At 37.3% G+C, this 20,914-nt stretch overlaps 6 annotated features.

Moving 5' to 3' along the window:
* Positions 2,422-2,931: an enhancer, noted in NCBI's record as "OCT4-NANOG hESC enhancer chrX:61822086-61822595 (GRCh37/hg19 assembly coordinates)". NCBI's record gives its function as "activates a minimal SCP1, AML or CMV promoter by ChIP-STARR-seq in primed H9 embryonic stem cells {active_cell/tissue: H9 hESC(primed)}" and the evidence as "EXISTENCE:reporter gene assay evidence [ECO:0000049][PMID:30033119]".
* Positions 3,068-3,636: an enhancer, noted in NCBI's record as "OCT4-NANOG hESC enhancer chrX:61821381-61821949 (GRCh37/hg19 assembly coordinates)". NCBI's record gives its function as "activates a minimal SCP1, AML or CMV promoter by ChIP-STARR-seq in primed H9 embryonic stem cells {active_cell/tissue: H9 hESC(primed)}" and the evidence as "EXISTENCE:reporter gene assay evidence [ECO:0000049][PMID:30033119]".
* Positions 9,041-9,625: an enhancer, noted in NCBI's record as "OCT4-NANOG hESC enhancer chrX:61815392-61815976 (GRCh37/hg19 assembly coordinates)". NCBI's record gives its function as "activates a minimal SCP1, AML or CMV promoter by ChIP-STARR-seq in primed H9 embryonic stem cells {active_cell/tissue: H9 hESC(primed)}" and the evidence as "EXISTENCE:reporter gene assay evidence [ECO:0000049][PMID:30033119]".
* Positions 13,194-13,784: an enhancer, noted in NCBI's record as "OCT4-NANOG hESC enhancer chrX:61811233-61811823 (GRCh37/hg19 assembly coordinates)". NCBI's record gives its function as "activates a minimal SCP1, AML or CMV promoter by ChIP-STARR-seq in naive H9 embryonic stem cells {active_cell/tissue: H9 hESC(naive)}" and the evidence as "EXISTENCE:reporter gene assay evidence [ECO:0000049][PMID:30033119]".
* Positions 13,800-14,475: an enhancer, noted in NCBI's record as "OCT4-NANOG hESC enhancer chrX:61810542-61811217 (GRCh37/hg19 assembly coordinates)". NCBI's record gives its function as "activates a minimal SCP1, AML or CMV promoter by ChIP-STARR-seq in naive H9 embryonic stem cells {active_cell/tissue: H9 hESC(naive)}" and the evidence as "EXISTENCE:reporter gene assay evidence [ECO:0000049][PMID:30033119]".
* Positions 14,490-15,269: an enhancer, noted in NCBI's record as "OCT4-NANOG hESC enhancer chrX:61809748-61810527 (GRCh37/hg19 assembly coordinates)". NCBI's record gives its function as "activates a minimal SCP1, AML or CMV promoter by ChIP-STARR-seq in naive H9 embryonic stem cells {active_cell/tissue: H9 hESC(naive)}" and the evidence as "EXISTENCE:reporter gene assay evidence [ECO:0000049][PMID:30033119]".

The raw sequence follows: 20,914 nt of genomic DNA, 5'->3' as shown, positions 1-20,914 counted from the left end.
CTAGTTTTATATGAAGATATGTCCTTTTCTACCATAGGCATCAAAGCACTCTAAATATCCACTTGCAGATTCTACAAAAAGAGCGTTTCAAAACTACTCTATCAAAAGAAAGGTTCAACTCAGTGAGGTGAATGCATACATCACATAGAGGTTTCGGAGAATGCTTCTGTCTAGTTTTTATGTGAAGACATTCTCGTTTCCACTGTAGGCCTCAAAGCACTCCAAATATAGACTTGCAGACTCTACAAAAAGTGTCTTTCAAAACAGCTCTATGAAAAGAAACGTTCAACACTGTGAGTTGAATGCAAACATCACAAAATAGTTTCTGAGAATGCTTCTGTCTAGTTTTTATATGAAGATATCTCATTTTACACCACAGGCCTCAAAGCGCTCCAATAGTCCACTTGCAGATTCTACAAAAAGAATGTTTCAAAACTGCTCTATCAAAAGCAAGTTTCAACTCTGTGAGTTCAATGAACCCATCACAAAGCAGTTTCTGAGAATGCTTCTGTATAGTTTTCATGTGAAGATATTTCAGCTTCCACAGAAGGCCTCAAAGCGCTCCAACTATCCACTTTCAAATTCTAAAAGAAGAGTGTTTCAAAACTGCTATACCAAATGGAAGGTTCAACTCTGTGAGTTGAATGCAGGCATCACAAAGTAGTGTCTGAGAATGCTTCTGTCTACTTTTTATGTGAAGATATTTTGGTTTCCACTGAAGGCCTCAAAGAGGTCCAAACATCCACTTGCAGATGCTACAAAAAGAGTGTTTCAAAACTGTTCTATAAGAAGGAAGGTTCAACCCTCTGAGTTGAATGCACACATCACAAAGCAGTTTCTGAGAATTTTTCTGTCAAGTTTTTATGAGAGGATATTCCTGTTTCCACCGAAAGCCTCAAACGCTCCAAATATCCACTTGCAGATTTTACAAATAGAGAGTTTCAAAACTGCTCTATCAAAAGAAAGGTTCTACTCCGTGAGTTGAATGCAGACATCACAAAGAAGTTTCTGAAAATGCTGCTGTCTAGGTTTTATATGAATATATTGCCTTTTCTACCATAGGCCTCAAAGCGGTCAAAATATCCACTTGCAGATTCTACAAAAAGAGTGTTTCAAAACTGCTCTATCAAAAAAAAGTTCAAATCTGAGTTGAATACAGAAATCACAAAGAAGTTTCTGAGAATGCTACTGTCTAGTTTTTATGTGAAGATATTCCCTTTTCCACTGAAGGCCTCAAAGCGCTCCAAATATCCAGTTGCAGATTCCACAAAAAGAATGTTTCAAAACTGCTCTATCAAAAGGAAGGTTCAACTTTGTGAGTTGAATGCACACCTCACAAAGAAGATTCTGAGAATGCTTCTGTCTAGTTTTTTTGTGAAGATATTCCCCTTTCCACCAAATGCCTCAAAGCCGTCCAAATATCCACTTGCAGATTCTAGAAAAAGAGTGTTTCAAAACTGCTCTATCAAGAGGAATGTTCAACTCTGTGAGTTGAATGCAAACATCACAAAGTAGTTTCTGAGAATGCTTCTGTCTAGTTTTTTATGAAGATCTCTCCTTTTCCACCACAGGCATCAAAGTGCTCCAAATGTCCACATGCAGATTCTGCAAAAAGAGGGTTTCAAAACTGCACTATCAAAACGAATTTTCAACTCTGTGAGCTGAATGCAATCATCACAGAGTAGTTTCTGAGAATGCTTCTGTCTAGTTTTAAATGAAGATATTTCCTTTTCTACTATAGGCCTCAAATCGATCCAAATATCCTCTTGCTGATTCTACAAAACACGTGTTTCAAAACTGCTCTATCAAAAGGAAGGTTCAACTCTCGGAGTTCAATGCACAGAACACAAAGAAGTTTCTGAGAATGCTACTGTCTAGTTTTTATGTGAAGATATTCCCGTTTCCACTGAAGGCCTCAAAGTGCTCCAAATATCCAGTTGCAGATTCCACAAAAAGAGTGTTTCGAATCTGCTCTATCAAAAGGAAGGTTCAACTCTGTGAGTTGAATGCACACCTCACAAAGAAGATTCTGAGAAGGCTTCTGTCTAGTTTTTTTGTGAAGATATTCCTGTTTCCACCGTAGGCCTCATAGTGCTCCAAATATCCACTTGCAGATTCTACAAAAAGACTGTTTCAAAACTGCTTTATCATAAGGAATGTTCAACTCTGTGAGTTGAATGCAAACATCACAAAGTAGTTTCTGAGAATGCTTCTGTCTAGTTTTTATGTGAAGATATTCCCGTTTCCACTGAAGGCCTCAAAGTGCTCCAAATATCCAGTTGCAGATTCCACAAAAAGAGTGTTTCGAATCTGCTCTATCAAAAGGAAGGTTCAACTCTGTGAGTTGAATGCACACCTCACAAAGAAGATTCTGAGAAGGCTTCTGTCTAGTTTTTTTGTGAAGATATTCCTGTTTCCACCGTAGGCCTCATAGTGCTCCAAATATCCACTTGCAGATTCTACAAAAAGACTGTTTCAAAACTGCTTTATCATAAGGAATGTTCAACTCTGTGAGTTGAATGCAAACATCACAAAGTAGTTTCTGAGAATGCTTCTGTCTAGTTTTTTATGAAGATATCTCCTTTTCCACCACAGGCATCAAAGCGCTCCAAATGTCCACATGCAGATTCTGCAAAAAGAGGGTTTCAAAACTGCTCTATCAAAAGGAATTTTCAACTCTGTGAGTTGAATGCAATCATCACAAAGTAGTTTCTGAGAATGCTTCTGTCTAGTTTTTATATGAAGATATTTCCTTTTCTACTATAGGCCTCAAATCGATCCAAACATCCTCTTGCCGATTCTACAAAACACGTGTTTCAAAGCTGCTGTATCAAAAGGAAGGTTCAACTCTCGGAGTTCAATGCACAGAACACAACGAAGTTTCTGAGAATGCTTCTGTCTAGTTTTTATGTGAAGATATTTCCTTTTTCACCTTAGGCAGCAAAGCGCTCTAAATGTCCACCTGCAGATTTTAAAAATGAGTGTTTCAAAACTGATCTATCAATAGAAAGATTCATCTCCATCCGTTGAATGCACACATCAAAAAGTAGTTTCTGAGAATGCTTCTGTCTAGTTTTTATATGAAGGTATTTCCTTTCCTACAATGGGCCACAAAGCGCTCCAAATATCCAGTTGCAGATTCTATAAAAAGAGTGTTTCAAAACTGCTCTATCAAAAGGAAGGCTCCATTCCCTGAGTTGAATGCACAAATCACAAACAAGTTTCTGAGAATGCCTCTGTCTAGGTTTTATGTGAAGATATTTCCTTTTCCCCCACAGACCTCGAAGTGCTCCAAATATCCACTTGCAGTTTCTACAAAAAGAGTGTTTCAAAACTGCTCTATCAAAAGGAATGTTCACCTCTATGAGTTGAATGCAAACATCACAAAGTAGTTTCTGAGAATGCTTCTGTCTAGTTTTTTATATGAAGATATTACCTTTTCCTCCACAGGCCTCAAAGTGCTCCGAATGTCCAATTGCAGACTCTACAAAAAGAGTGTTCCCAAAATGCCCTATCGAAAGAAAGGTTCAACCCTGTCAGTTGAATGCAGGCATCACAAAGAAGTTTCTGACAATGCTTCTGTCTAGATTTTATAGGAAGATAATTCCTTTTCTAACATAGGTCTCAAATCGCTCCAAATATTCACTTGCAGAATATACAAAAAGAGTGTTTCAAAACTGCTATATCAAAAGGAATGTTCAACTCAGTGAGTTGAATGCACACATCACAGAGAAGTTTCTGAGAATGCTTCTGTCTAGTTTTTATGTGAAGATATTTCCTTTTTCAACATAGGCATCAATGAGCTCCAAATGTCCACTTGCAGATTGTACAAAAAGAGTGTTTCAAAACTTCTCTGTCAATGGAAAGGTTCAACTATGTGAGTTGAATGCAGGCATCACAAAGAAGCTTCTGAGAATGCTTCTGTCAAGTTTTTATATGAAGATATTTCTTTTTCTACCATAGGTCGCAAAGCGCTCCAAATATCCACTTGCAGATTCTACAAAAAGGTGTTTCAAAACTGCTCTATCAAAATGAAGGTTCAACTTTTTGAGTTCAATGCACACATCACAAAGAAGATTCTGAGAATGCTTGTGTCTTGTTTTTATGTGAAGATATTCCCGTTTCCACCAAAGGCCGCAAAGTGCTCCAAATATCCATTGCAGATTCTACAAAAATAGTGTTTCAAAACTGCTCTATCAAAAGGAAGCTTCATCTCTGTGAGTTGAAGGAACACATCACAAAGTAGTTTCTGAGAATGCTTCTGTCTAGTTTTTATGTGAAGCTATTCCCGTTTCCACGGAAGGCCTCAAAGCCCTCCAAATGTACCCTTACTGGTTATACAAAAAGAGTGTTTCAAAACTGCTCTATCTAAAAGAAGGTTCAACTCTCTGTGTTCAGGGCAAACATCACAAAGTAGTTTCTGAGACTCCTTCTGTCTACTTTTTATGTGAAGATATTTTCTTTTCCACCGAAGGCCTCAAAGCACTCCAAATATCCACTTGCAGATTCTACAAAAAGATTGTTTCAACACTGTTCTATCAAAAGGAAGGCTCAACACTGTGAGTTGAATGCACACATCAAAAAGAACTTTGTGAGAATGCTTCTGACTAGTTTTTATGTTAGGATATTCCCGTTTCCACCGAAGGCCTCAAAGTGCTCCAAATATCCACTTGCAGATTCTACAAAAAGAGTATTTCAAAACTGTTCTATCAAAAGGAATGTTCAACTCTGTGAGTTGAATGCAAACATCACAAAGTAGTTTCTGAGAAGGCTTCTGTCTAGTTTTTATGTAAAGGTATTTCCTTTTTCAACATAGGCCTCAAAGTGCTCCAAATGTCCATTTGCAGATTCTACAAAAAGAGTGTTTCAAAACTGCTCTATCAAAAGAAATGTTCAACTCTGTCAGTTGAATGCACACATCACAGAGAAGTATCTGAGAATGCATCTGTCTAGTTTTTATGTGAAGATATTTCCTTTTTCAACATAGGCATCAAAGCTCTCCAAATGTTCACTTGCGGATTATACAAAAAGAGTGTTTCAAAAATTGCTCTATCAAAAGAAAGTTTCAACTCTGTGGGTTGAATGCAGGCATCACAAAGAAGTTTCTGAGAATGCTTCTGTCAATTTTTTTTAATGAAGATAAATCCTTTTCTACCATAGGCCTCAAAGCGCTCCAAATATCCACTTGCGGATTCTACCAAAAGAGTGTTTCAAAACTGCTCTATCAAAAGAAAGGTTCAACTCTCTGAGTTCAATGCACACATCACAAAGAAGTTTCTGAGAATGATTGTGTGTTGTTTTTATGTAAAGATATTCCCGTTTCCACAGAAGGCCTCAAAGCGCTCCAAATATCCACTTGCAGATTCTATAAAAAGAGTGTTTCAAAACTGCTCTATCAAAAGGAAGGTTGAACACTCTGAGTTCAATGCACACATCACAAAGAAGTTTCTGGGAATGCTTCTGTCCAGTTTTTATGTGAAGATATTTCCTTTTTCACCGTAGGCATGAAAGCGCTCTAAATATCCACTTGCAGATTCTACCAAAAGAGTGTTTCAAAACTGCTCTATTGAAAGAAATGTTCAACTCTGTGAATTCAATGCACACGTCACAAACTAGTTTCTGAGAATGCTTCTTTCTAGTTTTATATGAAGATATATCATTTCCTACCATAGGCCTACAAGCGCATCAAATATCCAGTTGCAGATTCTACAAAAAGAGTGTTTCAAAACTGCTCTATCAAAAGGAAGGTTCAACTCTGTGAGTTGAATGCAGGCATCACAAAGAAGTTTCTCAGAATGATTCTGTCTTGTTTTTATATGAAGACATTTCCTTTTCTACCATAGGCGTCAAAGGACTCCAAATATCCACTTGCAGATTCTACAAAAAGAGTGTTTCAAAACTGCTGTATTGATAGGAAGGTTCAACACTCTGAGGTCAATGCACACATCACAAAGAAGTTTCTGAGAATGCTTGTGTCTAGTTTTTATGTGAAGATATTCCCGTTTGCATTGAAGGCCTCAAAGTGCTCCAAATATGCACTTGCAGACTCTACAAAAAGAGTGTTTCAAAACAGCTCTATCAAAAGGAAGGTTCAACAATCTGAATTCAATGCACACAACACAAAGAAGCTTTTGAGAATGCTTCTGTGTGGTTTTTATGGGAAGATATTTCCTTTTTCACCATGGGCATCAAAGAGCTCCAAATGTCCACATACAGATTCTACAAAAAGAGTGTTTCAAAACTGCTCTATCAAAAGAAAGTTTCAACACTGTGAGTTTAATGCAGACATCACAGAGTAGTTTCTTAGAATGCTTTTGTCTAGTTGTTATATGAAGATATTCCCTTTTTTACCTTAGGCCTCAAAGAGCTCCAAATATCCACTTGCAGATTCTACTAAAAGTGTGTTTCAAAGCTGCTGTATCAAAAGGAAGGTTCATATCTCGGAGTTCAATGCACACAATGCAAAGAAGTTTCTGAGAATACTTCTGTGTAGGTTTTATGGGAAGATATTCCCGTTTCCACCGTAGGCCTCAAAGCGCTCCAAATATCCACATGCAGACTCTATAAAGTGTGTTTCAAAACTGCTCTATGAAAAGGAAGGTTCAACTCTGTGAGATGAATGCAGACATCAGAAAGATGTTTCTGAGAATGCTTCTGTCTAGTTTTTATGTGAAGATATTTCCTTTTTCACCATAGGCATCAAAGTGCTCTAAATGTCCTCTTGCAGATTCTACAAAAACAGTGTTTCAAAACTGCTCTATAAAAGGAAATGTTCACCTCTGTGAGTTGAATACACACATCGGAAAGTAGTTTCTGGGAATGCTTCTGTCTAGTTTTTATATGAAGATATTTCCTTTTCTAGTATAGGCCTCAAAGCGCTCGTATTATACAGTTGCAGATTCTACAAAAAGCATGTTTCAAAACTGCTCTATCAAAAGGAATGTTCAACACTATGAGTTGAATGCTAACATCACAATGTAGTTCCTGAGAATCCTTCTGTCTAGTTTTTATATGAAGATATTTCCTTTTCTACCATAGGCCTCAAAGGGCTCAAATATCTATTTCCAGCTTCTACAAAAACACTGTTTCAAAACTGCTCTATTAAAAGGAAGGTTCAATTCACTGAGTTGAATGCACACATCACAAAGAAGTTTCTGAGAATGCTTCTGTCTAGTTTTTATGTGAATATATTTCCTTTTCCACCACAGGCCTCAAAGAGCTCCAAATGTCCACTTACAGATTCTACAAAAACAGTGTTTCAAAACCTCTCTATTAAAAGAAATGTTCAACTCGGTGAATTGTATACATACATCACAAAGAAATTTCTCAGAATGCTTCGGTCTAGTTTTTATCTGAAGAGATTCCCGTTTCCACTGAAGGCCTTAAAGCTCTACAAATATCAACTTGCAGATTCTACAAAAAAAGTGTTTCAAAACTGTTCTATCAAAAGGAACATTCAACTCTGTGAGTTGAATGCACACATCACAAAGAAGTTTCTGAGAATGCTTCTGTCTAGTTTTTATGTGAAGAGATTCCCGTTTCCACCGAAGTCCTCAAAGCAGTCCCAATATCCACTTGCAGATTCTACAAAAAGAGTGTTTCAAAACTGATCTATGAAAAGCAATGTTCAACACTGTGAGTTGAACGCAAACATCCCAAAGTAGTTTCTGAGAATGCTTCTGTCTAGTTTTTATGTGATGATATCTCCTTTTCCACCGCAGGCCTCAATGCACACCAAATGTCCACTTGCAGATTCTACAAAAAGAGTGTTTCAAAACGGCTCTGCTAAAAGAATGGTTCGATTCTGTGAGTTGTATGCAGCCATCACAAAGAAGTTTCTGAGAAAGCTTCTGTGTAGTTTTTATATGAAGATATTTCCTTTTCTACCATAGGCCTCAAAGAGTTCCAATGATCCTCTTGCAGATTCTACAATAAGAGTGTTTCAAAACTGCTCTATAAAAAGGAATGTTCAACTTGTGAGTTGAATGCACACATCACAAAGTATTTTCTGAGAATTCTTCTGACTAGTTTTTATGTGAAGATATTCCCGTTTACACCGAAGTCCTCAAAGCTCTCCAAATATCCACTTGCAGATTCTACAAAAAGAGTGTTTCAAAACTGCTTTATCAGTGGGAAGGTTCAACTCTGTGAGTTGAATGCAAAAGTCAGAATGAAGTCTCTGAGAATGCTTCTGTCTAGTTTTCATGTGAAGATATTCCCGTTTCCACCGAAGACCTCAAAGCAGTCCAAATATCCACTTGCAGATACTACAAAAAGAGTGTTACAAAACTGCTCTGTCAAATGGAATGTTCAACTCTGTGAGTTGAATGCAAACATCGCAAAGTTGTTTCTGAGAATGCTTCTGTCTAGTTTTTATATCAAGATATCTCCTTTTCTACCACATGCCTCAAAGCACTCCAAATGTCGACTTGCATATTCTACGTAAAGAGTGCTTCAAAACTGCTCTATCAAAAGAAAGGTTCATCTCCGTGAGTTGAATGCACACAGCACAAAGAAGCTTCTGGGAATGCTTCTGTCTAGTTTTTATGTGAAGGTATTCCCTGTTCCACTGAAGGCCTCAAAGGGCTCAAAATATGTGCTTGCCGATTCTACAAAAAGAGTGTTTCAAAACTGCTCTATCAAAAGGAAGATTCAATTCTGTGAGTTGATTGCAAACATCATGAAGAAGTTTCTGAGAATGATTCTGTCTAGTTTTTATATGAAAATATTTCCGTTTCAAATGAAGGCCTCAAAGTGGTCAAAATATTCACTTGCAGATTTTACAAAAAGAGGGTTTCAAAATTGCTCTATCAGAAGCAATGTTCAACTCTGTGAGTTGTATGCACACATCAAAAAGAAGTTTCTGAGAATGCTTCTGTCCAACTTTTATGTGAAGATATTTCCTTTTTCACCATAGGCATCAAAGCGCTCTAAACGTCCACTTGCAGATTCTACAAAAACAGTGTTTCAAAAGTGCTCTATCAAAAGAAATGTTCAACAGTCTGAGTTGAATGCAGACATCACAAAGTAGTTTCTGATTATACTTCTGTGTAGTTTTTATATTAAGATATTTCCTTTCCTACTGTAGGCCTCAAAGCACTCCAAGTATACAGTTGCAGATTCTACAAAAAGCGTATTTCAAAACTGCTCAATCAAAAGGAAGTTTCAACTCTCTGAGTTCCATGCATGAATCACAAAGAAGTTTCTCAGAATGCTTCTGTCTAGTTTTTAGGTGAAGATATTGCTGTTTCCACCATAGGCCTCAAAAAGCTACAAATATCCACTTGCAGATTCTACAAAAAGAGTGTTTCAAAACTGCTCTATCAAAAGGAATGTTCAACTCTGTGATTTGAATGCAAACATCACAAAGTAGTTTCTGAGAATGCTTCCGTCTAGTTTTTATATGAAGATATTTCCTTTTCTACCATAAACCACAAAGCGATCCAAATATCGACTTCAAGATTCTAGAAAAACAGTGTTTCAAAACTGGTCTATCAAAACGAAGGTTCAATTCTCTGAGTTGAATGCACACATCACAAAGAAGTTTCTGAGAATGCTTCTGTCTACTTTTTATGTGAAGATATTTCGTTTTCCACCACAGGCCTCAAAGCACTCCAAATGTTCTAATACAGATTCTACAAAAAGAGTGTTTCATAACTGCTCTATCAGAAGGAAGGTTCAAATCTGTGATTTGAATACACACATCAGAAAGAAGTTTCTGAGAATGCTTCTGTCTAGTTTTTATGTGAAGATATTCCCATTTCCACCGAAGGCCTCAAGGCGCTCCAAATATCCACATGCAGATTCTACAAAAAGAGTGTTTCAAAACTGCTCTGTCAAAAGGAAGGTTCAACACTGTGAGTTGAATGCACACATCACAAAGAAGTTTCTGAGAATGCTTCTGTCTAGTTTTTATGTGAAGATATTCCCGTTTCCACAGAAGGCCTCAAAGTGCTCCAAATATCCACTTGCAGATTCTACAAGAGTGTTTCAAAGCTGCTCTATCAGGAGGAATGTGCAACTCTCTAAGTTGAATGCACACATCACAAAGGAGTTTCTGAGAATACTTCTGTCTAGTTTTTATATGAAGATATTCCCGTTTCCACCGAAGGCCTCAAAGCGCTCCAAATATCCACTTGCAGATTCTACAAAAATAGTGTTTCAAAACTACTTTATAAAAAGGAATGTTCAAATCTGTGCGTTGAATGCACACATCACAAAGGAGTTTTTGATAAAGCTTCTGACTAGTTTTTATATGAAGATATCTCTTTTTCCACCACAAGCCTCAAAGTGCTCCAAATGTCCACTTGCAGATTCTACAAAAAGAGTGTTTCAAAACTGCTCTATCAAAAGGAATGTTCAACACTATGAGTTGAATGCTAACATCACAAAGGAGTTATTGAGAATACCTGTGTCTAGTTTTTATGTGAAGATATTTCATTTTTCACCATACACATCAAAGCGCTCTAAATGTCCACTTGCAGATCCTAAAAAAAGAATGTTTTCAAAACTGCTTTATCAAAAGAAAGGTCCAACCCTGTGAGTTGAATGCACAAGTCACAAATAATTTCTGAGAATGTTTCTGTCCAGTTTTTTTTTTTTTTTTGAGACGGAGTCTCACTCTGTCGCCCAGGCTGGAGTGCAGTGGCGGGATCTCGGCTCACTGCAAGCTCCGCCTCCAGGGTTCACGCCATTCTCCTGCCTCAGCCTCCCAAGTAGCTGGGACTACAGGCACCCGCCACTATGCCCTGCTAATTTTTTTGTATTTTTTGTAGAGACGGGGTTTCACCGTTTTAGCCAGGATGGTCTCGATCTCCTGACCTCGTGATCTGCCCGCCTCAGCCTCCCAAAGTGCTGGGATTACAGGCGTGAGCCACCGCGCCCGGCCTCTGTCCAGTTTTTATATGAAGACTTTTCCTTTCCTACCATAGGCCTCAAACCGCTCCAAATATCCAGTTGCAGATTCTACAAAAAGATTGTTTCAAAACTGCTCTATCAAAAGGAAGTTTCAACCCTCTGAGTTGAATGCATGCATCACAAAGAAGTTTCTGATAATACTTCTGTCTAGTTTTTACGTGACGATATTCCCGTTTCCACCGAAGGCCACAAAGCGGTCCAAATATCCACTTGCAGATTCTACAAAGGGAGTGTTTCAAAGCTGCTCTATCAAAAGGAATGTTCTACTCTATGAGTTGAATGCAAACATCACAAAGTTGTTTCTGAGAATGCTTCTGTCTAGTTTTCATATGAAGATATTTCCTTTTCCACCACAGGCCTCAAAGCGCTCCAAATGTCCACTTGCAGATTCTACAAAAAGAGTGTTTCAAAACTGCTCTATCCAAAGAAAGGTTCAGCTCTGTGAGTTGAATGCACACATCACAAAGAAGTTTCTGAGAATGCTTCCGTCCAGTATTTACGTGAAGATCTTCCCTTTTTCACCGAAGGAATCAAAGGACTCCAATTATCCACTTGCAGATTCTACAAAAAGAGTGTTTGAAAACTGCTCTATCAAAAGGAAGGTTCAGCTCTCTGAGTTGAATGCACACATCACAAAGAAGTTTCTGAGAATGCTTTTGTCTAGTTTTTATGTTAAGATATTCCCTTTTTCAGCCTAGGAATCAAATGGCTCCAAATATCCACTTGAAGATTCTACAAAAAGAGTGTTTCAAAACAGCTATGTAAAAAGGAAGGTTCATCTCTGTGAGTTGAATGCACACATCACAAAGAAGTTTCTGAGAATGCTTCTGTCTAGTTTTTGTATGAAGATGATAATTTGTTTTCCACCACAGGCCTCAAAGCTCTCCATCTTTCCAATTGCAGATCCTACAAAAAGAGTGTCTCAAAACTGCTCTATCAAAAGAAAGGCACAACTCTGTGTGTTGAATGCACACATTACAAAGAAGTTTCTGAGACGGCTTCTGTCTAGTTTTTATGTGAAGTCATTCCCGTTTCCACCGAAGGCCTCAAAGCGCTCCAAATATCCACTTGAAGTTTCTATAAAAAGAGTGTTTCAAAACTGCTCTATCAGAAGGAAGGTTCAATTCTATGAGTTGAATGCACACATCACAAAGAAGTTTCTGAGAATGCTTTTGTCTAGTTTTTATGTGAAGATATTCCCGTTTACAACGAAGGCCTCAAATCGCTCCAAATATACACTTGCAGATTCTACAAAAAGAGTGTTTCAAAACTACTCCATAAAAAGGTATGTTCAACGCTGTGAGTTGAATGCAAACATCACAAAGTATTTTCTGAGAATTCTTCTGTCTCGTTTTTATATGAAGATATTTCCTTTTCTACCATAGGCCTCAAAGCACTCCAAACGTCCACTTCCAGATTCTACAAAAACAGTGTTTCAGAACTGCTCTATCAAAAGGAAGGTTCAATTCTCTGAGTTTAATGCACACATCACAAAGATGTTTCTGAGAATGCTTCTGTCTAGTTATTTTGTGAAGATATTCCCCTTTCCACCATATGCCTCAAAGTGCTCCAAATATCCACTTGCAGATTCAACAAAAAGAGTGTTTCAAAACTGCTCCAAGGAAAGGTTCAACTGTGAGTTGAACCTGAGATTTTACCAAAAGAGTGTTTCCAAATGCTCTATCACAATAAAGTTGAACTCTGTGAGTTGAATTCGCACATCACAAAGAAGTTTCTGAGAATTCCTCTGTCTAGTTTTTATAGGAAGATATTTCTTTTTCCACCACAGTCCTCAAAGCACTCCAATTATCCACTTCCAGATTCTACAAAAATAGTGATTCAAAAGTGCTCAATCAAAGGAAAGGTTCAACTCTGTGAGTTGAATGCACACATCACAAAATAGTTTCTGAGAATGCTTCTGTCTAGTTTTTATGTGAAAATATACCTTTTCCACCATAGGCCTCATAGCGCTTCAAATATCCACTTACAAGTTCGACAAAAAGAGTATTTCAAAACCGCTCAATCAAAAGGAAGTTTCAACTTTGTGAGTTGAAGGCACACATCACGAAGAAGTTTCTGAGAATGCTTCTGTCCAGGTTTTCTGTGAAGATATTTCCTTTTCTAACGTAGGCATAAAAGCGCTCCAAATATCCACTTGCAGATTCTACAAAAAGAGTGTTTCAAAACTGCCCAATCAAAAGAAAGGTTCAACTCTGTGAGTTGAATGCACACATCTCAAAAATTTCTGAGAATGCTTCTGTCTAGCTTTTATGTGAAGATATTTCCTTTTCCACCAAAGGCCTCAAAACGCTCCAAATATCCACCTGCAGATTCTACAAACAGAGTGTTTCAAAACTGCTCAATCAAAAGAAAGTTTCAACTCTGTGAGTTGAATTCACTCAACAGAAAGAAGTTTCTGAGAATGTTTCTGTCTAGATTTTATGTGAAGATATTTCCTTTCCAGCATAGGCCTCAAAGCGCACCAAATATCCACTTGCAGATTCTACAGAAAGAGAGTTTCAAAACCGCTCAATCAAAAGAAACGTTCAGCTTTGTGAGTTTTATGCAGACATCCAGAGAAGTTTCTGAGAATGCTTCTGTCTAGTTTTTAGGTGAAGATATATCCTTTTCCACCATAGGCCTCAAAGTGCTGTAAGAGGCCACTTGAAGATTCTGCAAAAGGTGTGTCTCAAAACTGTTCTATCAAAGGAAAGGTTCAACTCTGTGAGTTGAGTGCACACATCACAAAGATGTTTCCGAGAATGCTTCTGTCTAGTTTTTAGGTGAAGATATTTCCTTTTCCACCACAGGCCTCAAATCACCCCAAATATCCACTTGCAGATTCTACAAAAAGAGGGTTTTAGAACTCCTCAATCAAAAGACAGGTTGGACTCTGAGTGTTGAATGCACACATCACAAAGAAATTTCTGAGAAGGCTTATGTCTAGTTTTTATGTGAAGATATTTCCTTTTCTGCCATTGGCTTCAAAGTGCTAAAAATATCCACTTGCAGAGTCTACAAATAGAGGCTCTCAAAACTGCTCTATGAAAAGATAGGTTCAAATCTGTTAGTTGAATGCACACATCACAAATTAGTTTCTGAGAATGATTCTGTCTAGTTTTTATGTGAAGATATTTCCTTTTAAACCATAGGCCTCAAAGCGCTCCAAATATCTACTTGCAGATTCTACAAAAAGTGTGTCTCAAAACTACTCTTTCAAAAGACAGGTTCAACTCTGTGCGTTGAAAACACACATCACAAAGAAGTTTCTGAGAAGGCTTCTGTCTAGTTTTCATGTGAAGATATTTCCTTTTCCACCGTAGGCCTCAAAGCACTTCAAATATGCACTTGCAGATTCTACAAAAACAGTGCTTCAAAACTGCTCTATCAAAACAAATGTTCAACTATGTAAGTTGAATGCACACATCACAAAGATGTTTCTGATAATACTTGTGTCCAGTTTTTATGTGAAGATATTCCCTTTTCCAATATAGGCCTCAACCTACTGCAAATATCCACTTGCTGATTCTGCAAAAAGAGTGTTTCAAAACTGCTCTAGCAAAAGAAAGGTTCAACTCTGTGTGTTGAATGCACACATCACAAAGAAGTTTCTGAGAATGCTTCATTCTAGTTTTTACTTGAGGATATTTCCTTTTCCACAACTGGCCTCAAAGCGCTGGAAATATCTGCTTGGAGATTCTAGAAAAAGTGTGTTTCAAAGCTGCTCTATCAAAAGAAAATTTCACCTCCATGAGTTGAATGCACATATCACAAAGGAGTTTCTGACAATGCTTCTGTCTAGTTTTTATGTGAAGATATTTCCTTTTCCACCAAAAGCCCCAAATCTCTCCAAGTAGCCACTTGCAGATTCCACAAAAATAGTGTTTCAAAACTGCTCTATCAAAAGAAAGGTTCAGCTCTGTGAGTTGAATGTACACATCACAAAGAAGTTCCTGAAAATCCTTCTGTCTTGTTTTTATGTGAAGATATTTCCTTATCCACCATGGCCCACAAAGTGCTCCAAATATCTGCTTGCAGATTCTACAAAAAGAGTGTTTCAAAACTACTCTATCAAAAGAAAGGTTCAACTCTGTGTGTTGAATGCACTCATCACAAAGAAGTTTCTGAGAATGCTTCTGTCTAATTTTTATGTGATGATATTTCCTTTTCCACTCTTGGCCTCAAAGCCCTAGAAATATCCACTTGCAGATTCTACAAAGACAGTCTTTCAAAACTGCTCTACCAAAAGAAATGTGCAACTCTGTGTGTTGAATGCACACCTCACACAGAAGTTTCTGAGAATGCTTCTGTCTAGTTTTTATGTGATGATATTTCCTTTTCCACCATAGGCCTGAAGGCACTTCAAATATCCACTTGCAAATTCTACAAAAAGAGTGTTTCAAAACTACTCTATCAAAAGAAAGCTTCAACTCTATGAGATAAATGCACACATCTCAAAGGAAATTCTGAGAATGCTTCCATCTAGTTTTTATGTGAAGATATTTCCTAACACCATAGGCTGCAAAAGGCTGCAGATATCCACTTGCAGTCTCTACAAAAAAGTGTTTCAAAACTGCTCCATCAAAATAAGTGTTCAACTCTGTGAGATGAATGCACACATCACGAAGTAGTTTCTCAGAATGCTTTTGTGAAGTTTTTATGTGACGATATTTCCTTTTCCACAGTAGGCCACAAACCACTCCAAATATCAACTTGCAGATTCTACACAAAGAGTGTTTCAAAACTGCCCAAATTAAAGAAAGGTTGAACTCTGTGGAATGAATGCACACATCACAAAAAAGTTTCTCAAAATGCCTCTGGGTAGTTTTTATATGAAGACATTTCCTTTTCCAGAATAGTCCACAAATTGCTCCAAATATCCACTTGCGAATTCTACAAAATGAGAGATTCAAAACTGCTCAATCTAAAGATACGTTCAATTCTATGAGTTGAATACACTCATCACAAAGTAGTTTCTCAGAATGCTTCTTTGTAGTTTTTATGTGAAGACATTTCCTTTTCCACCATAGGTAGCAAAGGGCTCTAAATATGCACTTGCAGATTCTATAAAAAGAGAGTTTCAAAACTGCTCTATCAAAAGATAGATTCAACTCTGTGAGTTGAATGCACACATCACAAAGGAGTTTCTTAGAATGCTTCTGTGTAGTTTTTATGTGAAGATATTTCCTTTTCCACCAAAGGCCTCAAAGCACTCTAAACATCCACTGCAGATTCTACAAAAAGATTGTTTCCAAACTGATTACTCAAAACCAAGTTTCAAATCTATGAGATGAATGCACACATCCCAAAGAAGTTTCTCAGAATGCTTCCATGTAGTTTTTATGTGAAGATATTTCGTTTTCCACAACAGGCCTCAGAGCGCTCCAAATATCTACTTGCAGATTCTACAAAAATATTATTTCATTGTTCACTTCCCACCTACGAGTGAGAATATGCGGTGTTTGGTTTTTTGTTCTTGCGATAGTTTACTGAGAATGATGATTTCCAATTTCATCCATGTCCCTACAAAGGACATGAACTCATCATTTTGGACACAGGAAGGGGAATATCACACTCTGGGGACTTTTCTGGGGTGGGGAAAGGGGGAAGGGATAGCATTGGGAGATATACCTACTGCTAGATGATGAGTTAGTGGGTGCAGCGCACCAGCATGGCACATGTATACATATGTAACTAACCTGCACAATGTGCACATGTACCCTAAAAGTATTATAAAAAAAATTTAAAAAAAAGATTATTTCAAAACTGCTCCATCAAAAGAAATCTTCAACTCTGTGAGATGAATGAACACATCTCAAAGAAGTTTCTCAGAATGCTTCAGTGTAGTTTTTATGTCAAGGTATATCCTTTTCCACAGTAGGTCCCAAAGCACTCCAAATATCCACTTGCAGATTCTACAAAATGAGGGTTTCAAAAATGCTCAAACAAAAGAAAGGTTCAACTCTGTGAGATGAGTGCAAAAATCACAAAGAAGTTTCTCAGAATGCTTCCGGGTAGTTTTTATGTGAAGATATTTCCTTTTCCAAAATAGGCCGCAAAGGGCTCTTAATATCCACTTGGAGATTCTACAAAATGACAGATTCAAAACTGCTCAATAAAAAGATAGATAGGTCCTATTCTATGATTTGAATATACATATCACAAATATGTTTCTCACAATGTTTCTGTGTAGTTTTTATGTGAAGATATTAACTTTTAAACCATAGGCTGCAAAGGGCTCTAAATATCCACTTGCCGATTCTACAAAAAGTGGGTTTCAAAACTGCTCAGTCAAAATATGGGTTCAACTCTGTCAAATATATGCACACAACTGAAAGAAGTTTCTCTGAATGCTTCTGTGTAGATTTTATGTGAAGATCTTTCCTTTTCCACAATAGACCTCAAAGTGCTCCAAATATCCACTTACAGATTCTGCAAAAACAGTGTTTCCAAACTGCTCATTAAAAGAAAGGTTCAACTCTGTGAGACGAATGCACAGATTGCAAAGAAGTTTCTCAGAATGCTTCTGTGTAGTTATGTGAAGATATTTCCTTTTCCACCATAGGCCTCAAAGTGCTCCAATTATACACTTGCAGATTCTACAAAAAAAGTGTTTCCAAACTGCTCAATCAAAAAAAGTTTGAACCCTATGAGTTGAATGCACACATCCCAGAGAAGTTTCTCAGAAAGCTTCAGTGCAGTTTTTATGGCAAGATATTTCCTTTTCCACAGTAGGCCTCAAAGTGCTCCAAATATCCACTTGTAGATTCTATAAAAAGAGTGATTCTAAACTGCTCAATCTAAAGAAAGGTTCAATTCTGTGAGGGGAATCCACACATCAAAAAGAAGTTACTCAGAATGCTTCTGTGTAGTTTTTATGTGAAGATATTTCCTTTTCCAACATAGGCCTCAAAGTGCTCCAAATATCCACTTGCAGATTTTCCATAAAGTCAGTTTCAAAACTGCTCCATCAAAAGAAAGGTTCAACTCTGTGAGTTGAATGCACAAATCACAAAGAAGTTTCTCAGAATGCTTCTGTGTAGTTTATATGTGAAGATATTTCCATTTCCACAATAGGCCCCAAAGTGCTCCAAATATCTACTTGCAGATTCTACCTAAAGTGTGTTTCAAAACTGCTCAAACAAAAGAGAGGTTCAACTCTGTGAGAGGAATGCACACATCACAAAGAAATGTCTCAGAATGCTTCTGTGTAGTTTTTATGTGAAGATATTTCCTTTTCCAAAATAGGCAGCAAATGGCACTAAATATCCACTTGTAGATTCTACAAAACGAGAGATTCAAAACTGCTTAATCAAAATATAGGTTGAATTCGATGGGTTGAATACACACATCACAAAGATGTTTCTCAGAATGCTTCTGTGTAGTTTTTATGTGAAGATATTTCCTTCCCCAAAATTGGCCACAAAGTTCTCCAAATATCCACTTGCAGATTCTCCAGAAAGAGAGATTCAAAACTGCTCAATCAAAAGATAGGTTCAACTCTGTGAGTGGAATGCACACATCGCAAAGAAGTTTCTCAGAATGCTTCTGTGTGGTTTTTATGTGAAGATATTTCCTTTTCCACCGTGGGCCACAAAACTCTCCAAATATCTTCTTGCAGATTCTACAAAAAGACTGTTTCAAAACTGCTCAATCAAAGGAAAGTTTCAACTCCGTGAGATGAATGTGCACATCACAAAGAAGTTTCTCAGAATGCTTCTGTGTAGTTTCTATGTGAAGATATTTCCTTTTCCACAATAGACCTCAAAGCACTCCAAATGTCCACTTGCAGACTCTATAAAAAGAGTGTTTCAAAACTGCTCAATCTAAAGAAAGGTTCAATTCTGTGAGATGAATGCACACATCACAAAGAAATTTCTCACAATGCTTATGTGTAGTTTTTATGTGAAGATATTTCCTTTTCCAAAATTGGTCACAAAGGTCTCCAAGTATTCAATTCCAGATTCGACAAAAAGAGACATTCAAAACTGCTAAATCAAAAGATAGGTTCAAATCTGTGAGCTGAATGCACATATCACAAAGAAGTTTCTCAGAATGCTTCTGTGTGGTTTTTATGTGAAGATATTTCCTTTTCCACTAAAGGCCTCAAAGCACTCTAAACATCCACTTGCAGATTCTACAAAAAGATTGTTTCCAAACTTCTCAATCAAAAGATAGGTTCAACTCTGTGTGTTTAATGCACACATCACAAAGAAGTTTCTCAGAATGCTTCTGTGTAGTTTTTATGTGAAGATATTTCGTTTTCCACCATAGACGGCAAAAGGGCTCTAAAAATCAACTTGCAGATTCTACAAAAACAGAGGAATTTCAAAACTGCTCCATCAAACGATAGGTTTGACTCTGTGAGTTAAATGAACACATGACAAAGGAGTTTCCCAGAATGCTTCTGTGCAGTTTTTATGTGAAGATATTATCTTTTCCACAATAGGCCTCGACGCACTCCAAATATCCCCTTGCAGATTCTACAAAAAGTGTTTTAAGACTGCTCAATCAAAAGAAAGCTTCAACTCTGTGAGATGAATGCACACATTGCAAAGAAATTTCTCAGAATGCTTCTGGGAAGTTTTTATGTGAAGATATTTCCTTTTCCACAATAGGCCTCTAAGCTCTCCAAATATCCACTTGCAGATTCTATAAAAAGAGTGTTTCAAAACTACTCAATCTAAACAAAGGTTCAATTCTGTGATATGAATGCTCACATCACAAAGAAGTTTCTCAGAATGCTTCTGTGTAGATTTTATTTGAAGATATTTCATTTTGCACAGTAGGCCCCAAACCCTCCAAATATCCACTAGCAGATTCTACAAAAAGAGTGTTTCAAAACTGCCTAAACAAAGGAAAGTTTCAACTCTGTGAGATGAATGCACACATCCCAAAGAAATTTCTCAGAATGCTTCTGTGTAGTTTCTATGTGAAGATATTTCCTTCTCCACAATGGGCTGCAAAGGGCTCCAAATATCCACTTGCAGGTCCTACAAAATGAGAGATTCAAAACTGCTCAATCAAAAAATAGTTTCAATTTTATGATTTGAATACACACATCACAAAGAAGTTTCTCAGAATGCTTCTGTGTGGTTTTTATGTGAAGATATTTAATTTTCCACCATAGACCACAAAAGGGCTGTAAATATCCACAGGCAGATTCTACAAAAACAGAGTTTCAAAGCTGCTCAATCAAAAGATAGTTTCAACTCTGTGAGTTGAATGCACTCATCCCAAAGAAGTTTCTCAGAATGCTTCTGAGTAGTTTTTATGTGAAGATATTTCCTTTTCCACAACAGGCCTCAAAGCGCTCCAAATATCCACTTGCAGATTCTACAAAAAGATTGTTTCAAAACTGCTCAAACAAAAGAAAGCTTCAACACTGTGAGATGAATGCACACATCACAAATAAGTTTCTCAGAATATTTCTGTGTACTTTTTATGTGAAGTTATCTCCATTTCCACAATAGACCAGAAAGAGCTCGAAATATCCACTTGCAGATTCTACAAAAAGAGTGTTTCAAAACTGCTCAAACAAAAGAAAGGTTCAACTCTGTGAGATGAATGCATACATCGCAAAGAAGTTTCTCCGAATGCTTCTGTGTACTTTTTAAGTGAAGATATTTCCTTTGCCACAAGAGGCATCAAAGGGCTCCAAATATCCACTTGCAGATGCTACTCAAAGAGTATTTCAAAACTGCTCAATCAAAAGAAAGGTTCAACTCTGAGTGGAATGCACACATCGCAAATAAGTTTCTCAGAACACTTCTGTGTAGTTTTTATGGGAAGATATTTCCTTTTCCATGAAAGGCAGCAAAGGCTCCAAATATGTTCTTGCAGATTCTACAAAAAGAGAGTTTCAAAACAGCTCAAACAAAAGATAGTTTCAACTCTGTGAGTTGAATCCACACATCACAAATAAGTTTCTCAGAATGCTTCTGTGTATTTTTTATGTGACGATATTTCCTTTTCCACAATTGTCCTGAAAGCGCAC

Source organism: Homo sapiens, chromosome X (assembly GCF_000001405.40).
Source record: "Homo sapiens chromosome X, GRCh38.p14 Primary Assembly".
In the NCBI taxonomy this organism is placed as follows: domain Eukaryota; kingdom Metazoa; phylum Chordata; class Mammalia; order Primates; family Hominidae; genus Homo; species Homo sapiens.
Note: the sequence above shows the minus strand (reverse complement) of the source record. Positions and strands in the feature narration are given on the sequence as shown.